The sequence below is a fragment of the Homo sapiens genome, chromosome 3, assembly GCF_000001405.40.
Source record: "Homo sapiens chromosome 3, GRCh38.p14 Primary Assembly".
NCBI lineage: Eukaryota > Metazoa > Chordata > Mammalia > Primates > Hominidae > Homo > Homo sapiens.
The window spans coordinates 97,463,312-97,483,551 of NC_000003.12; the positions used below are offsets into that span (position 1 = coordinate 97,463,312).

Below are 20,240 nucleotides of genomic sequence, written 5' to 3' on the forward strand. Positions count from 1 at the left end.
GGATGCTTTCTCAGAGGACTAAACAGAGGAATAGTGATTTTTTATCTGCATTTCTCTTCTTCCTAAGAGCATTTGAGGCAGTTTAAAATGTATGCACAAAATGTTTAATAGGTTAGAACTAAAATAGAAAATTAGGTCCATATACACAAGAGGGAACATAATCATTACTAGAGATGCACATGTATGTGCCATCTCTGCCTCTGAAATTTCCAGTAGCAGCCAGAGAATAGAAAAGTTATCATACGCTCATGAAGCACAAATGTTCTAAGAAAGATTTATAGAAGCCATTGAGGAAAATGGCCTCAAGCAGCTTTTTCAACAAATACAAAAGTTTTTTGTTTGTTTGTAAATGACATTTTCTGACTACAACCTTTGATAGAGCCAAGGTAAAGTTTCAATGATTGAAGATGATTTTTCCATGATGGGAGAAAGGAAGGTTACTTAATTCATTCCATGCACACAGACTTTAAGACAAACTATACCTAGGAAGTAAATGAAAGGAGTTACCTTTTAAATTTATTTTCTAAAAATTTTGTCTGTTAGCCAGGAACTTAAAATCAGAATAATCTAATAGGACCCTTTGATTGCAGATATCACATAAACCATGAGCTAGGTTAAGCAAAGAGGAATGAAGAAATGTCCCAGACTAGGCTTCAAAAAAGATTGAGACAAGAAACTGGAAAATTCTCCAAAGGAAAGACAGCTTTTATTCCTGATCCACACAGCCACCAATCTCTGTTTTGTGCTCTAAAGACTAGTTTTACCTGTGTTCATTTAGGAAAATATGTCTATGGCTTATAAATCACATTTCCCTTAGTGTCAACCATGCATGAAAATTGCCAAACTGATTGTGAATCCTAATCCCAAATTCCTGCAAGAGGGAATGTGGTTGGTCCAGTTTGGGTCAGGTCTCTGTCGGTAATCCAATGCATATGACTGGGTGCCAGAGACAGGGAGAACAGTCTTCCAAACTCCTGCCCTGTGGGTGGAGGGAGTTTTCAGAGACAGGGCTGAACAGATACCTCAGAGGATGTTTACTAAGAATTTTGAGGTTGGTCTTTAATGAGTGCTTAGAATGTAAATTTTCTACTTTCATATCAATAGATGATATAAATGGTACAAAAATATGGTGAAGCAATAGAGAAATCCTTCCACTATAAATGTTGAGAAGCCCAACCAGTATTTTTGCAAAAGTAAAAATAAAACCTCTCCATGTTTATGCTAAAATGGGCTGCAGGCAAAGCAAAGATTGTCCTTAGGAAGCAGATTTGAATCTGCCCCCACCGTTAGATACACTCTAGATTGAGAGTTCAGAGTCCCCCACCACAGGATACTGGGAAAAAAGATGATTCTGGCCTGGAAATTTTTCAAAGCAGGTGTTGTTGCAAGTCATCAAAAAGAAACCCGAGGAGTAATGCTCCCATGGAAAAAGTTATATTGAACTGCGTAGCTCTGCACTGTGCTTTCCTGGATAAGCTATAGAAAAAATATGCATGTACAAAATGGAAATATCTTGTCTCATTGTGTGAAGTTTTGATCAATTGCCTTTTGTCTGCCAAAGAAAATGATTTTCAATTTGATAAAGTTGGTGATGCTCAATTCTTTCTGGCAGCAGTAGGATAGCAGAATTATTTGTATCCTGAAGTTAATTCTAGTTGTTGAAAATTACACCCATATCATCAGCATGTAGGAAGATGCTTATCTTTCTACCTGCCATGATGGCAAATACCCAGTTTGTCTAAAATCAGTGCCATATTGTGAAGATACTAGTTAAAAATTAATAAATAAAACACAATACTGGTTTTTATATTACATGACAAGGTGAATGGGTATGTCAGGAAATGTTCCCTTTCATTTCAGTTTTAGAAAGATATTTACTCCCACATTTGTAGATCCTAATATTAAGCTTCATTTTTTACTTAACTCAATTCCCTAGGCAATGAAGTCAAAATTTTGTGAAAAAATCAATATGCATAAGTAAACAATCTTATTTTCTTCAAAATAATAGTAGTAAATAGTAGGGCAATACTGTGCCAAAAACCTTCTTGCTGCTAATACGAATTATTTAACTTGGAGACCTCACACACATGGCTTAAGGAGAAGCAGGGTGTAAATAATTGAAGAGATGCTGAAAAAATTGATGGAGCCATAGTTTTGTGCTACCATGGGGTTGGCCTTTTTAAAATAGAATAGTCTCCCATTGAATCTCTCCAGAATTAATCCTGATGATTGATTAGAGGTAGTTTGAGGTAAATAGTTTGGTGTTCTTCAGAACAGGCTTCAAACAATGATCCAAAAGCTTCCCTTAGAACTTACTCACTTTCAGGAGATGGTTAAATGAGTTTTGGCATAAAGCAATAGCAGGTCCTAAAAGAAATATACTTGGGTCCATAACGCTAAGAAAAATTGGCACCTGGCATTGTGGTTAGCCGTGCTTCCATAAATAGTTCTACTGATGCCAAATAAAGGACAACTGTAGCCTCAAATTCATGTTACCATAAACTGTGAAAATTCACTAAAAGCCTTCCACAGGAATTTAGCTCCAGTATTTTGGTGATAATTAGTTTATAATTAGATAGGTTTCAATTAAGCAAAATATTTCACATTCTAACATGCTGTCTTGCTAAACTTGCCAGAAATGTTGTCTGCCCATTTGTTTTTTTTTCTTTTTTTGTTTTTGCATCTATGCAATTTTTATTAAATTGATACATGAGACCCATTAGATATAGGACAGACAGGACTGATTTCCCCCCAAAACTATCCATCTATTAAAGAAAAATAAATTGGAATATCTCCTGGCACATGTGTTAGTCTTTCTGTAGAAAAAGGTTGTTTTAGAAAGGTAAGCACATTTCCACTCCATTTCACCCTACACTTCCAATCCTATCCATCCAGTTACCGGGCAAACAGACTTGGGAGGCTGTGTTTATCATCAAAATCAAAAGATGACAGTAAGGTTAGATAGAAAACATTCCCCTCAAGCAACATAATAAACAATGAGAAGTAACTATACCTAGTTTGGATATATAAAGTCCTGCATCGCCCTGCCCCATATCAGCATTTACATCCAGTCTAATTATTTTCTCTTGGTTCATTATATTCCATAGGACTCTCCATTTCAAGTGACAAAACTGTACTGGCTTAATGAAAAGTGGGACTTTATTGCCTCAGGTAACTGAAAAGTCAAAGGGGTAGTGTGAGGGTCGGGCCAAATCCAGGCTCTCCAATGATGTCTTCAGTGATGTCTCAGTCTCAGTTCTGTTTTCTTCTCTGATGGGTTTGTCTTCAGTATTCTCATGTATTTGCAAGAGTTTATGTCTCTGGTAAAAATGGCAATTTTCATTAAACTAACATCTACATATACCCTATTCTAGAATCTGAATATTAATAGTAACTTGAGAAAAACTCAAGCATGCTGACTGGAGTCAGTTTCAGTTTAAATTATTATGACCTCTTCCTTGCCTATCTCTCCAACTTCCTCTTGTGCATATTGGTATGTGTCCCAGGCATCTCAAAGTACATATAAACTCCTGAAGATGTTGTGCTATTTATACCTTCGTAGTATTTGTGATGTTTCCTCAAGCCACAGTGTCCAATATCTACTTACCATGTTGGTGACTTGCAGATTTCTTCGAATCATTCCAGATTTAGTTTAAGAATTACCTTCTTTATAATCTTCCTACGATTTTTTCGGTGGAGAATACCACCCTCCCCCTCTTGTCCTGTGACCTTCACACATACCTCCATTCTAGCACCAATGTTTCTGTATTACAACTATGATCTGCATCTCTATCTCTCTCACTAAAGAGAAACGCTATGAGGAAATCACACTTCAGTTTTCTTCATCTCCCCAAGCTCTATATCACAGTGCTTAGCAAATGGTATTTTTGTTGTTATTGAGTGAATAATGAGTTGGTGAATGAGAATTTCCTCAAGAAATTATTTAGATTTTTTTTCTAAATAATTCTGTTTTTAAAATCATTTTCTTTAAATATTTTTTCTATGAAAAATAGACTCCAAATAAATCTAAGTTTATACAGTTCATACAACTTATGAAATTTGTGATCCCTAATGATTATCCATTTCATTACAAAGCTCTTTATCTCAAACCACAGTAACTTATATTAAGAAGCTATAACCCCAAGTGCATAGATATGCTCACCAATGTGCAAATATCTACTATTAATATTATGGCACATGGTGAATAGTATTTAAAATTGAACATCATTGGTTCCAGGTCAGTGATCCAGGGATGTTGTGAAATTTGTATGGAAATCCTATTTTACACTGGATCTTAAAAGACTTTTTAAAGGATGAAAGATATATGCATGAAGATGTAAATATTCTTTGAGAAAAATGTTCTCAAGACCTATCTCAACTGCCAGTAACAATATGAAATACAGACAATTACAAATTACATCTTTGACATTTAGGATGTTGACCGTAGTTTCAGGTGTTTAAATGTCTCAATCATTTTCTTTGTTCTTTGAAATTTGTTATATGAAGGCTACCTATGGTAAGGCATCTTGACCATTCATTAATGAACACAAGAATCTCTTAAAATAAAAAAAAGTCAGAAAATACTTCATTATGCTGCGCTATTTGCCTCTGCTTCTGCTTCTCCATTAAATTGTACCAAAATCACATTTTCCAATTATTCCTGTGTCATTTGGCATTTTTACCTGACAAGTAAATTGAGGTCATCAGGAAGAGTGAATCTCAAAATCTCTGTTGTTTCAGTGTAGCCACAGTTTGATATACTGAATTGTATTGTTTCTGGAGAAGTGGCAGAGGAGTAGAAGAAGGCACAGCTATGAAATCACTTTCTGAAAAAAAAAAAAAAAGTATGATCCCTGCTAAGGGTCTCTGCTTCAACAGAAATGATCCATGAGGTTTGTTTCCATTCAGCTGAGAAATCAGTAATCAGCTTACTTGAATGGAAAAAAGAAACTCTTGCTATTCTCTTTTATTTCTAATCTTAGAGATACTTTTCCTTTGGGTAGATAGCATCAAATATTGAATGAATGTAAAAGAAAAATATCAGTATAATACTATGTTGACTATATTTACTTTTTTTCAAAGCCTAGGCAGGGATATTTAGGAAAAAAAATGACCCACATTATTTTCTATTAATTTATTTCTGAATAAATTATTATTTCTAATCTTATATATATTTTCCTTTGAGTAGATAGCATCAAATATTGAATGAATGTAAAAGAAAGATATCAGTATAATACTAAGTTGACTATTTTTACTTTTTTTCAAAGCCTAGGCAGGGATATTTAGGAAAAATAAATTTACCCACATTATTTTCTATTAATTTACCTCTGTACATACTGATTTACAAAATACAAATATGTAAGGGAATGTAATGTAAAATTACAACGTGTTTAAGCATTACTGTTGACACACAAATCAAGTAAGAAAACTGTTCTTTAGCCAAGGGCATTTTATCCTTATATTTAGAATGTGATTTTTATCTCTTTTTCACAAACAATACACATATATTAATACCTATACTATGTATGGCTTATACTAATCCCTTGTTATATAGAAAGTTGAAACATATTATTCTGCCCTCAAGAGGCTTGTAGTAGAGATGAGTCAAAAAACTGAAACTCTCAGGAAATGAATCATTTTGATAATTTAAGTTTTTGGCCAGGGTTTAATCTTAGAAGTATTATTTTTATAACTTTAGAATAGTTTGGAGGCAAACGTTTTTTAATCATGCATCCCCAAACTCTTGTCCTTTCAAATAAAATATATTGGACTTATCTCAGTATTTTCTAATTAATATCGAATGATCATATGAAGGTATCGAGTTATAAAACATAGTGAATTATTTGATGCTCCTTGAATTTTGTAGGGCTATTTGATCCTAAACTCCTGGCTCCTGACTAGTGTACACTTTGGAATCTTGTGTCAGATTTTCAGTTTTTCCACCTCTTCCATCAGTCTGACTAGCAGTGTGCAATTATTTTCAACTCTCTCTTTGTAGATGCCTCCCCAACCTATCTTCTAATCTGTTGCCTACTACACTATTTTATGAACTTGGAAATCAATAAATATATGTGAAGTAAAACTGTGAGGTATCAAAGCTGTTTTATAGTATGTGGACCTCAGTCAGATGCCTTTCTAGAGAATCTTTTTTATTTGTTTTTGTCTTGCTTTCTATCGTTCAACTAAATCACATAATTGAGACTGCTGTCTAGCTGATTTCAAATACATGTGATAATATGGGTACCTGAACTAAGAAAATACAGTGGGAGTTGGAGAGAATGAGAAAGAATCTAAGAAATACTTTAAAATTATAAGGGACAGGACTGATCAACTTGGAAGGCGAAGGAGAGAATTGGTTGAGGGCTGAGTCCAAGGTTTCTTGCCTGAACATCTCTGAGAATGGGACATGGGAAAGGGATGATTTTACTTTCTAGGCAATGGGAAATGTTCTCAATATTTTAAAATGTTATTATGAAGAATAATTACATCCATATAACGTGGATGTATTGTGAAGAGATACTGTGGAAAGGCAACCTAATAGCAAATGATGAAACTAGTCTACTCCTGTGGGGCTGAAGCCTCACAGTAGGCTGTGTCACTGGTAATAGAGGCAGGATGAAAAACTTGACTCTGGACTTGGAGTTGTAGGAAAATGCAAAATCAAGGATAACCCTATGCTTTTAAACCCACGTGGCCCAAATGATAACAATATCATCTACAAAGTCACAAGTTTATGTTCATCTAGAAGATATGTTTCCTCAGCTTTCATTTGTATCTCATACTCTTCTGTCTGCATGAGAATGTGGTGTTGAAAATGTGAAGATTAATTAATCTCCATTATGTGTTGCTAAATGCTTATAAAGTTAAGCCAATTCTGATTTCTATACATGATCTGAGAGGAGAATTTTCCTGTATTGGTTGTCCATAAACTTTAAAACTAATTTACTGGGTATCATCAATTCATGGCTTTGTTGAGATTTGTGCTATGTTTAAAGAAATCATTCTGTTGAAATGATGAAGACAATTTATTTCACTGAGCAGCATTTTTTGTGAGATGCTTTATTTAAAAATTCATATTAACTACTGTCTTCAATAACTTTAAAAATATGTTCATAACAGAAAAGAGTTAACTTTAAAAATCTATTCCACAGAAAATGACACAGAATACAAATAACAGATTTTACTTTGAAATGTAAATATAAACTAGAATAATCTTGATTACAGGGAGACAAAATCATATGCCTCCATAGAAGAAAATTCTTTGGTTAAAAATAGCCAAATTGCCTTTCTCCGACACTTTCCTAAAGATATGAAATCTCTTTTTTAAGTATTTAGATTCCAAGTAAAGCATTTCACTTTTTTTTTCTTTAGATGGAAACAAACCACACTTAATAATGTCATCACAACTTATGCCAAACGCTGTTGCTCAGTTACAATTTTGCAATTCTTTTTGGATAATTGCTTCCTCTTAAGGAAGTATACTTCTTCCCAAATCATAGAATGAAATATATCATTTTAATATTTTTATCTTTGTCCAAGAATACAAGCTAACAATTAAACAAAGGATCATTTCCAATCAGTGAGTCACAAATAAATTTTATTTTACACTATGGATTTCAGAGTGGTTCTTTTTAGGGACAAGTTTGCTTTCAACAGATGCCACTTATATGAGTAAACGATACATTTTTCTCCTACAAAACTAATGAGAAGGTTCTGCTCAGGATTGAAAAAACTGAATGGATAATGCTATAGACAAGTTTTCATAACAGAGACATTTGTAGCTCTACTGTATTTTAGTGGAATCCATTTGGCAGGTAACTTCATGGTTTGCTTATTTGTTTCTTTAAGTGTCTATTTAAATAAACCAAACTAATGAGATCTCTAGCCAAGGAGGTGATCATCCTGTTCCTCCTCTTACTTCTTCCAACACATTACATTTTCCCAAATTCCCTGTCAGCTCACTCACTGCCAGAGGCTGCTTATTCTTTTCCAACACCATTCAGTTTCCCTTTTGTAACAATAATTACTTCTGTAATTTCTTATTCAGTGTCTGTCTTCCCCACTGAACTGAAAATCCATGAGCACAGTAACTGTGTTTTGTTCATCACTGTATACCCTGTGTCTATGTTAGTGCCTAGCATAAACTAGTTGCTCAATAAATATTAATTGAATGAACTAATAAATTCTTAACCTTAGACTCATATTTCTGAGCTTTGGTCCACTCAACTTGGTAAAATGTAGCAGTCTGAATTCCCTAGTAGCTTCTACCTCCCAGAAAGCATTGTCTCCAAGCACACAGAGTAATTGGATTTTTCTGATTAGTGTTGGGTACACTCTCTTCACGTACATTGTATAGCTACACTGATGGTAAATCTTCCCCACATATCAAGGGAAGGGTGGGAATGTGGATTACTCCTGAACTTTTCTTACCAGAACCATCCAGTGCAAATAATTATTCAACCCACTCACTCAAAGGAATATTTATTACCATGTAGGCTGGACACTGTATTGGTTTCCTAGGACTGTTGAAACAAATTGTCACTAAGTCAATGGCTTAAAACAATATATCACAGCTCTGGAGACCAAAAGCATGCTCCCTCCAAAGTTTCTAAGAGAGACTTCTTCCTTTTCTCTTCTTGCTTCTGGTGTCTTATTCTTTGGCTTGTGGGTTGCATAACTCATCTCTGCCTTTGTCTTTACATGTGTCTTTACATGGCCTTCTCGTCTTTGTCTTCTCCACTTTTCTCTCTCATAAGGACACTTGTCATTGGATATGGGACAACCTGTTTAATCCAGGATAATCAAGTTTCTTAATTACACCTGCAAATTCCTTTTTTGAGGGGAGGGGGAAAGGCTGTCACCATTCACCCCACTATGGATATCATAGTGAATATAGTTCCTGCTCTCATTGAATTTGAAATCAAATGAGAAAGACAGATTATAAAAAGTAATTTCAATAAAATGTGATGGTTTTATTGGTAGAAATCTTTTAAGGGTCTTGGGGAACATCTGTCTGGGGACCTACCCAAATCTAAACAACCAGAAAAAAAAGTGCTTCCCAAATGATAAGATATTCATGGAGGAGTGATTAGAAATTGACCAGATATTAAGAGTTTGGCTCATTCAAGGACTTGGAAGAAATTCAGTATGCTTAAAGAATGATAAGATGTATCTGAAGACATACGCTAGAGCCATTTGTAGACAGCTTTGATAACAAAGTTAAGGGCCTTGTAGTTTATCCTGAGATGAAGTCAGAGCTCTGTGATGGACCAACACTAATATGATAAAACGCAAAAATTATCCCCATCAGGACCAAGCTCCTGAGTGTTTTTATTTCCATATGGCAAATCTTGTTCTTTCCACTATTTTGTTGCAGCCTGCATGGATAACACAATATCATAGTACAATTGCTCTGAAAGATTGTGACAAGAATGTTTAATTCAACATTATCATTTTACAGACATGAAATCAAGTTCAAGCAAGGCTATGATTGTTGTAGGGTAACCAAAACCGCTAGATCTAGTTAGTTCTTCTGTTAGGAAAAATGGTGGTTTAAAGTACTGGCAATTGCTTGGGCTTGGAGATCGGCAAAAAGAAGTTGGATTGCCGGCTTTCCCTTGACAAGATATGTAACCTTGAGAAAGTAACTGTTTAAACTAGGAATGATAATAGTACCTACCTATCAAGACCATTGTGAAGATAATTTTGATAATGAATTGACGCTCATAGTTTCCTATTAAATAAATAATGACTGTTGTTCTTGTTGAAGATGATAATGTTGATGAGGTTTTTATAATCATCCCAGCCTCACAATCTATAGCATTTTACTCCCAGTATAATAGTGTTTCATTAAATACTCTTATTAGGAAATAAGAGTATTTAACATATTTATTTTCTAATAAGAGTATTTAACACATTTTATTCTCCACAGAGGAGTGTTTACAGTTCCTAAGTTTAAGAAACAATTATGCAGGAATATGCATTTTTCAAAGGGTCATAACTTAAGATTGTTATCCAATTAAAATTTTAATTAAAACAAAGTTTATAAATGTAATAACAAGTGTGCAGAAGGAGACATATTTGTAGAATTAGCAGTTTAGTCAGTAATTATGTATGTAAAACAACACCATTTTTTATAACAAAGTAATCTGATTTTCAAAAGGCACCCAATTACAAAATCTCCCTCTGAATTTTGGACTCAACAAATTATAGCTACCTAACTACTATGAAACTATATGCCCCTGATTCAAAATTCTTGAATTATGCTATTTATTTTACAGATACAACAGTTTTTAAGTAAATAATGTTTTTTGGGTAAATGCCATCTGCTTTATCTTCAAAAAGATAATGCTTTCTAGAACAACTATTTCTTACATTTTTGTTATTCAATAACTTTCAGTGAGAAAATATGACATTTTAGAGCACAACATTCATTCCCATGATATCGGTGCTATTTTGAAGATTAGGAAATTCAGTGAAGACCTAATAAAAAACCTTCAGTACATTATTTATTGGATAAGATGCAACTATTTAACTTGTCTCTGCACAGATTATGAGTGAAAACTTAACATTGTAGTACATTGCTTGAAAATGTCTTGATTAAATCATAGTGACTAAGTTCTAATTCTAAGATTTAATACATTTCTCTTACTGAAAACTGAACATAAATGACTTCAACTCTTTTGTTTTTATTTACATTCAGATTTTTTTAAAAGTCTCTAAAGTGCTGTGACTGGTTTCTTACTGACTTGACAATAGTGTTGAAGGCTTAGACATTCTGTTGTAGATATGTCATTTTTATGAGAATGCTATTACTCTGGATATGAATTTGCACATAATATACTGCATACTCAATTCCCAGAAAAAGATCTACTTCTGTGGAAGCTGTAAAATACTCAAGTTTAATAAATTATTATGTTAGAGACTTCTGCAGTTTGCTTCTCAGTTATATACTTTATTTGATCCAATTTTCTCCAATAGCTGATAAGATTAATAGATATTATTTATTTTCAGTAGTCAAAATAAAAAACAAGTTTAATTTAAGTTAAGGAACATTAAGAGACTGATTGATTTGGTTTTTTATATTATTGATGATTAACTCAATTATTACTACAAGTTATAGTAACAAAAATGGAGAAATGAGACAAAACCCTGAAAGACTGAATTCTGGTCATAGTTTTATGTGGGCTTGGGCAATTTCTTTAATTTTTCTGTGCTTCTGTTTTCTTACCTCTATTATTGAGGAATTGCCTATTCCACTCATTGAAAATTATATTTGATTAAAGCATTATTAATATAAAAAATTAGAAGTGCTAATAAATTAATTTAAATGATATATGTTAAAAGATTCCCAGAAGATTAGTAAAACATGCAGCTCATGTGCTTTTAAGAGACAGTTTTATGAATGAAAGAAGGAACATGTTGCTACCATATATAATCTGGTCTTTTCTTCAAAAAAGGAAGCTTTTAAACATCATTTTTCCAATTATTGCTGATTAAACATCTAAGCACCCATTATGTATATCCTCGTGCTGTGGAGGTGAGAATCCACAATTTTAGTGTTTGAATTAAGTTCTATGAAGTATAAAGAACATCATTCTTAAAAGGAATTATACAGTAGTCTTTCTACTTTGTGAAAACAGATATCAAAACAGTCTATAAAGCCTGGTCTATTGGCCAGTGTTTAAGAGGAAATACAGTGAGCAATTACATAAAACAATTCTTTAGCCTATCTGCTGATTTAGTTTTACAGCACATACTTAATCTTAAAATAAGGGGTACTAAGAATTCATCTACTTTATTGATCTTTTTTGAAGAAAGAGGACAGGTTTATGTTGTGGGTTATGGCCCCAACTCTTCAGCCCTGAGTCAAAACTCATTTATTTTGGGTTTGCTTCATACGTGTCAAATACTGAAATAAAGGCCAAATATACTGAGCTTGGCATCCGTTATTGTATTTTCTAGTGTAAACTAAATTGTAAAATGGTTTTAATAGTGAAATGTCACCCAGGGAAATTTTAATATTGTATCTCTGTTTCAGCTTCTGACATGGCAGCAGAACAAGGACAGATTCTCGTGATAGCCACCGCCGCTGTTGGCGGATTCACTCTCCTCGTCATCCTCACTTTATTCTTCTTGATCACTGGGAGGTAACTGAAACATACCATACTATTTCCGAGATTTATGAATAACCACTCTTTTTATACATTGTGTATTCAAATGCTTTTAGATATAACAAAGCACACCTGAGGTCGAGAGGGATCCCATAAGAATCCACTCTGACAGTGAACCATCATTAGTTCTCTGTTTCAACAGGTCCCTGAATATGGAAAGATCCGAAGATGACTAAAGCTGTTTGAAAGCTATGAATGATGAATTTATAGTCAATAAGTTACTCCATATTTTTCCTTTACTATAATCAAATTACATCATAAAAAATAATTTTCTTAAAAAATATTTTAATGGAAAGTCAGAACAATTTATAGAAAAACTCTTTATAAACCTAGTGTTATAGAAATATAATATTTTGTCAATTAAATATTGAAACTGTCTATGTTAGAATTATATTAATTGGTTTTATAAATCCAATATTTCTATACTTCAAAGTAATTTGAATAAAATATAAACTAACAGTAAATTTAACATAGCAAAAGACCTAAATTTGAATCCTGACTAACTGGTCCAAGTGCTTCACCCATCAGAACCTTAGCTTTCTATTTTTATACAGGTTTGATACAAAAGTATATTAAAACCATTTAATGACTTTTAAATAAATAGTATGAATACCATAATCCAGGTGCTGATAATACAGACGTGAATGAAGATAATATGTATAAAATTATATCAAAGAATAAATGTTATTTCTTATTTAATCCATGGTATTTGGCCAGGACTTTTTCCAGAAATCACAATATTTTATTCTCAGATCATTCTAACAAGAAGATAAAATAGTCTATCTAGATATCAAAAGAGGCACAAAAGAATACCTCAACAGATTTTTTATAATCAGAAACACACATCTACTGCAATATTTCACTATCATGATTTAAAACTGCAAAAAGAATGTCAGCCAAACAGTACACACCAATGTTGACTCCAGCTAAAGTACACCAACCCTGCCAGAAAACATTGGTACGTCAGAAAGAGCAGAAATAATAAACAGCACCTTCAGTGAACCGAAAACACTATTTGTTTTTAAAACTCTGCTTAGGGACCAACATTTTATTAAAATTTAATCTACTTAAAATTACAGAGGTAATTTTAATACACATATGAAAAATTGTCTACAATTTTGACAGCACACCAAAAAGTATAGAACTTGACAAGTACTTTGCATGTATCAAATGTGGGTCCCTGACAAATATACAACTGCTATTCAGTAACAGTGTATTAGATATAGTTGTAACAAACCTCCTTTTATAGAATTTACCGAGGAAAAAAGCAGCATGAATATTCTAATGTGGTTGAGTTAAAAATGATGACTTATTTGTGAAATTAAGTGGAAAGAAGGCACTTTACAACTATGTTTACTTAAGTTTTTCATGTATATAAACAGATATAGTAATGGTCTTAGAATTAAGAGGGAGTATTTGGGGGTCTCTAGTTTTGGGGGGTGATTAGCTGATAGAATAATGCCAGCTACAGTAACAAGGAAAAAAACAGACATGAAAGAATGCAGGAAATAATGATAAATTCATCTTAATACAAGTACTAATTTGGGCACAACATGTTGCCACCATCAGGCACTGTTGTCCAGCATCCTCTTAGGACCCTTTTCCTTTATTTTTAGGGCAAACCTCTGACAGCTAACTGCCATCATCAGAGCTTTGATATAGCTCATCTTTTATAGAGGACAGAAAGCAAATTTTGGAATCTCTAAACCAATTAACCATTAGGTTGTAGATTAAATGTTCAACACTGCAGCTTATCAAACATGGCCTACAAAAACTTGAATCACTAGCCAGAATAAAGTGATTATAAAAAATAAACAAAACCCCTAAACATCCTGGTGGAGGTCTAAGTTTTCTGAGAAAGATTAAAATTATTCCCATACTATTTTGGACTCTGGCAAAGAGAGGGATTACAAGACAGTTATGGTTAGAGAAAGAGAAAGAGAAAGAGAGAGGAAGGGAAGGGAAGGGGAGGGGAGGGGAGGGGAGGAAGGGAAGGAAGGGAGGGAGGAAAGGAAGGAGAGAAAGAGAGAGAGGAAGTTTCAGTGAGGGTTAATGGCGCAAGTTTAAAAAAGAAAGGAAAAAAGAAAATAAAAGTATTTTGTTGTATGTAAAGTCACAATGACAATTTGGTTAAGAAAATCAAATTGCCACTACTTTAGCATTGCTACGTGTTTAGTAAACTTTATTAGGAAAATGTTAAATAGAAGAATAAACCTTACTGTATATTCCTTACCCTCTATAACATTAATGCTGCCCATGCATTTTGAACTGGGGTCACTGATATCTTTATAATACTCTAATTATCATGAAGGACAATCTGCTTTGGAGCCCAGAAAGTTTATTTAGTTTTTAAAGTACAATGGCATTCCATTGTACTTTAAGGAGCTCTTAACTACAAAGACACAAATTTATCATGTAACTATACTGTGAAAAAATAGGTATGATGGTTGATTTTGATTCAGAAATATTTTTGTTTTCCATTTTCAAAGTTTCTTTGAAGGAGGGAGTAATCTCCTTTTCTTATTATTATACTTTAAGTTCTAGGGTACATGTGCACACATATGTTTATGGAGGGAGTAATTTCTTAAATGTGATTTTATTTAACATCAGTATTACATTATTTACAATAGAAAAAAATCCTCTGGACGTTTAAAAGAAATTTAATAATGATTCACTATATTGCAAAATTGGATACAGTTATATGTATCTTGTAGAACATAAGTTAAGGCCTTATTTTTTCATAGAGTATTTCAGTAAACAGTGATTTAAATAGCACATACACATGTGGCAAAGCATTTCATTAAGGCATCAGAAAATATTTCCTTAACACATAAATATGACAAACACAAAAGAAAACATTTCAATCTTTGCAGGCTAAATAAGTATTGCCTAATAAACTTGAGAGTTGGGCTCAAATATTATCTTTATTTGGGATTCCTGGAGCAGAATAGATATACCACTTCAAAGGAGAATTTAATGATGAAGAAAAATTTGTGCTAAATTATTTTCAGCTTTCAGTTTCTATGTTTGCCAATTTATATTTCATTAGAAATTGCTTTAACATTCCATGCAATGAAGAGAACAATTTCAATTACATAAAATAGAAAAAAAAATATTTTGAAGTATTGCTTAAGCACTTTGGTAGGGGAGCAGTCATTGGAAAATATTCTATGAAAACTGTAAGACATTTCTGAATAAATGCTCAACTTGCCATAGAATTCGAGGCAAAATTCCCATTGAAAGACTGAATTATGTAACACAGACGTACTTTGTTTAGCCATTAGAAATTTGATAAACCATCAAATCATATGGATGTTGAAGAATTTACTCATATTGAAGAAATCTTGAGAGCATGGTTATCCAGAGGGAGACTAGAACATGCCTCTACCAAATTCCAAATATTAAAAAATAAAACTGCTGAACCATCCTGCTGTTTAGCAGTGAAAATGGAAGACAGTTGTATACATTTCTGAAATTCTGACTCAAAATGCTTTTTTTATTTTGACTTTTAATTTTCTTTTTACCAACTCTAGCTATTAGTAGTCATGTAAGGGATGGTTATGGCAGATTATTAAATATTTTCTAAGACTCCTATCTTTCGAATCCATCTACTTAACAGCATTTTATTCTAGGGCTAATTTCAGTGTACATAAAAAACCTACTATAGAATATTTTCACGTTATAAAGATATTTTAAAAGTGGTCTTTATGACAAGAAATTTGTTCATAGATTATATGTATTTTAATTGGTTTTGCATTGTATGCATCATACTTCTTAAAACAAGTTTTTTTTTTTAATCTTTTTAAAAGATGTCAGTGGTACATAAAAGCCAAGATGAAGTCAGAAGAGAAGAGAAGAAACCACTTACAGAATGGGCATTGTAAGTAGCGCAGGGACTTTCTTTCATTATTTTGTACTGTTCCAGCACTTCAGGAGTTCATTCAAACTGTATCTATTGAGTTGAGAAAAAAAGAAAAAAAAAATCACTTCCAACCTTTCAGCATTAAGAATTTTCATCTGGTTTCCAGGTTTGTTGGTGAAAGTTGCACCTGCTTCTCATTAAATAACATTACCTTGTTCCCAATTCTGCTTGCTGGAAAACACAACAGACTGAATTTGCTAAAAATAATAGTTGACTGATTTTATCAAGTTATTTACCACTCACAATGGCTCTAAAACATGAGTTGATTTTATCTAGTGGAACATTAGACATAGAAATAAATATTAGGGAATCTTTATTCCTTCTTGTAGGGACTGTCTTTTAAATATATAACAAATCAATTTACAATTCATTAATACTAAAAAAGAATATCAGCTCTTTAACTCTTAGAATATGTATGAAATCCTTGGGCTGACTACAAGGTTATATTCATTTGAGAGATCTATTCCCAAGCAACCTATAATTACCACTATAGCTGGTTTGATAACTGACAACTTCTCCTCCTCAACATCCACCTCCACCTCCACCTCCAAATTGCAAACTACTTCAGCAAGACAGTTTTTCTATTGTGAGACACTGAATTAACAAGAAAGGGATGTTCTCTAATTAACCACAGTGTAGAGATAATATGCAAGGCAACTTAACTGTTTTATCTTTTATTTCAAATTGAGCAAAAGATAATAAAGGACATTTCAATCTATACCACCCTCCAGGAAAGGGAAAGGATTTAAGTGAGGAACTTTTATTTTTTATTATTATTTTTTAAGTATAATTAGAATTTTTCTTTTTTTTCTTTCTTTTTATTTATTTATTTTTTTTAGTATTTATTGATCATTCTTGGCTGTTTCTCGGAGAGGGGGATTTGGCAGGGTCATAGGACAATAGTGGAGGGAAGGTCAGCAGATAAACATGTGAACAAGGGTTCTCTGGTTTTCCTAGGCAGAGGACCCTGCGGCCTTCCGCAGTGTTTGTGTCCCTGGGTACTTGAGATTAGGGAGTGGTGATGACTCTTAACCAGCATGCTGCCTTCAAGCATCTGTTTAACAAAGCACATCTTGCACCGCCCTTAATCCATTTAACCCTGAGTGGACACAGCACATGTTTCAGAGAGCAAGGGGTTGGGGGTAAGGTTATAGATTAACAGCATCCCAAGGCAGAAGAATTTTTCTTAGTACAGAACAAAATGGAGTCTCCTATGTCTAATTCTTTCTACACAGACACAGTAACAATCTGATCTCTCTTTCTTTTCCCCACATTTCCCCCTTTTCTATTTGACAAAACCGCCATCGTCATCATGGCCCGTTCTCAATGAGCTGTTGGGTACACCTCCCAGACGGGGTGGCGGCCGGGCAGAGGGGCTCCTCACTTCCCAGATGGGGCGGCTGCCGAGCGGAGGGACTCCTCACTTCTCAGATGGGGCGGCCGGGCAGAGGCGCTCCTCATATCCCAGACGGGGTGGCAGAGCAGAGGCGCTCCCCACATCTCAGACAATGGGCGGCCGGGCAAAGACGCTCCTCACTTCCTAGACGGGATGGCGGCCGGGAAGAGGCGCTCCTCACTTCCCAGACTGGGTGGCTGGGCAGAGGGGCTCCTCACATCCCAGATGATGGGCGGCCAGGCAGAGAGGCTCCTCACTTCCCAGACGGGGTGGCAGCGGGGCAGAGGCTGCAATCTCGACACTTTGGGAGGCCAAGGCAGGTGGCTGGGAGGTGGAGGTTGTAGAGAGCCGAGATCACGCCACTGCACTCCAGCCGAACAATTTCCTCATGAAGTACTGGAAAAGACAACCTTTTTCTCCATTACTATTTGGACTTTTAGATCACGTACATAACCAGGAATTGAATAAATAATGAATGTTTTCATAAAGAGTATCCGTCTTGGAGGGAGATTCCAGTTGTAGAGATGTTTCACTTGTGCAAAATATCCAACATAGCTATTCTGAGAAGGAGTTTCTACTCCCTGAAATTTTTTGCTGTGGGTTTTATCTGTTCGCCTTTCTCCAAAATAATACAGGCTTTCCTTTGCAGTTAAAAATATTTCAGAGGCAATAAGGAAGGCACAAACCATAGTTCCGGTTCTTCCTCCGGCGCGGGGCTAAGTGCAGGCCCGGGGGTCCCTAGAGCCGCCGGGGCGCGGCGCGTCCGGCGCTGGGGGACTGTTGGGTCAGAAAGTCTTCAGGGAGCAGCTGTTGCGCCCTCCCTAGGCCCGCCGCTTGGAGACGCCCCGCCCCCTGCCTTCAACGGCCGCCCGGCCCCGCCCCGCACCGCCCCGGCCCCGCCCCCTGTGAGGAACTTTTATACAGTAAGTCTGACTCTTACTGCACTGGCAGAGCTGAGAGAACTGATATCTGGCATGGGATAACATGGAAAGGCTGTAAACAGATTGCAGAAACCTGGATCCAGACACCTGGGCTGATGACTTAACGCAGGGCAACCTTAAGATTCACTGCAGGGCATTTAGTACTGCTATGCAGAGGGAAAAGGTGCTCCTGAGGCATTTATTATCTGTTTTCCAAGAGGTAGGTTAGCATAAACCAAACCAGATGGGCCCAGCATGAAGCGATGAAAATAACTCGAGACAGCCAAGGAGGTAGAAGAAAGTTAACCAACTGATGTTTAAGAAGACGTTGATAAGTTTAAATTAGTAACCAGGTATTCAAAATTGGAATTCAGTTTGGTTGTTTATTTTCCTCTTTACTACACATATGTTTATAAGAAAAAAATGTGATATTTACTGATCTTATTCTATAGAAATGTGTACCACCTTAAATAATTGAATAGTTTAATAGTTAAAACCACATATGAGTTAATAAATGATGCTTGTTATCTGTGCCTAGCATAATATTATCAACATGACCACAGATCTGATTAGATATCACTAATAATTAGTAGTGGCTACTAGGTTTGAGGTTATAGAACTCAGTCTGAAATCACAAATTCTACTAAGTTGTTATGAAAATATCATATGGAATATAAAATAGAGGTACAAACTATCTGTTCTCATTTTCTTCAATGGATGCTTTGAGAAGTCAAGGAAAGCATGACATGTTAAAATTAGTGTCAGGTCTGGGTATACCTGGAAATATGCTTTTCTGGTGCTAATTTGAGAAATATTAATTTTCTCACGGTCCATATGCAGCACTAAGAAGACAGAAGACAAAATGTGTAAATGAAGGCAATGGGCATAGAAGGACTAAGGAAGCAAATTGCTGCTAATATTGGGCATTTCAGCACCTCCTCTAAACTTTATTACCTTTTGTTTGTTTGTTTTTGATTTTTTTGTTTATATGTTTTGCAAGGAGAGTCAAACAACAGTTAACGCTGGGTATTATAAGACTTTCAAAATCTAAGAAGCAACAAAACCAAATACCATCCACTCTGCCACAAATTTCACATTGGTCTTTTAATCCCTACTAGTTTGTATTCAATAAAGGCTCTCTGTGTGATTATTGCCTGTAAAACCATACCTAAGATATTCGGAACGATAGAAAGATATATAAGAAATGACCTCCTGTCTAGAGATCTAAAATGGAAAATGGAAATTAATGAGCCAGCTTGGTGGCTTGTGCCTGTACTCCCAGCTACTCAGGAGGCCGAGGCAGGAGGATCACTTGAGCTCAAGAATTCAAGGCCAGCCTGGACAACATAGCAAGACTGCCATTTCTCTAAAAAAAGCAGAGAAATAAATAAATGATCAAAACAGAGGGATATTCATGGGCAGAGGCAGTCTATGACTTCTTCGGATACTCACAAATGGACATACAACCACACATTAATGTTTTCTAGCCATCCTTTCTCATCATCCTAACTGCCTGTAGGCTGTGAGCCCTCCATTCTCACCAATGAAGCTCAGCAGATACACAACCAATGACCAGATTTTGGCCTTTGATTTCCATCCTTCCCACCAGGATAGACAAGCTGATCCTATTCAGGACTATATGCAGTCAGTCCATGGAAGCCACTACATGAATACAAAAAATGGCCATTATCCCTACTGGCCTTTCTTGTTTCTATGCCATGAAGTCAGTTCTTTACTGCTTGAGGTTTTCTGGAAAAGGGGGAGACCACAGGAATAGGGCATGAGTTCATGAAACCTAGTGCCGTAGAGTACAAAGAGTCCAGGAGGAA

General features: G+C 35.0%; 1 protein-coding gene and 1 pseudogene across 16 annotated transcripts in view; one reads left to right on the forward strand and one right to left on the reverse strand.

The window, feature by feature from the left end:
* The window catches only part of EPHA6 (EPH receptor A6), a 946,939-nt gene that overhangs the window by 648,718 nt on the left and 277,981 nt on the right, over positions 1–20,240 (forward strand). For 13 of the 16 annotated variants that reach the window (XR_001740110.2, XM_017006211.2, XM_006713592.4 and 10 more), the window contains 2 exons: positions 12,041–12,149; positions 15,983–16,053. Coding sequence is in view for 15 of the 16 variants with exons in the window: in XM_017006211.2 (XP_016861700.1) it covers positions 12,041–12,149; positions 15,983–16,053 (180 nt within the window). In the remaining variant the exon portion in view is untranslated. Of the gene's footprint in view, positions 1–3,107; positions 3,172–12,040; positions 12,150–15,982; positions 16,054–20,240 lie in introns of all 16 variants that reach the window. The other 3 variants (NM_173655.4, NM_001278300.2, XM_047448009.1) reach the window with 1 other exon arrangement.
* On the reverse strand, positions 17,866–18,195 carry TPTE2P7 (TPTE2 pseudogene 7; annotated as a pseudogene).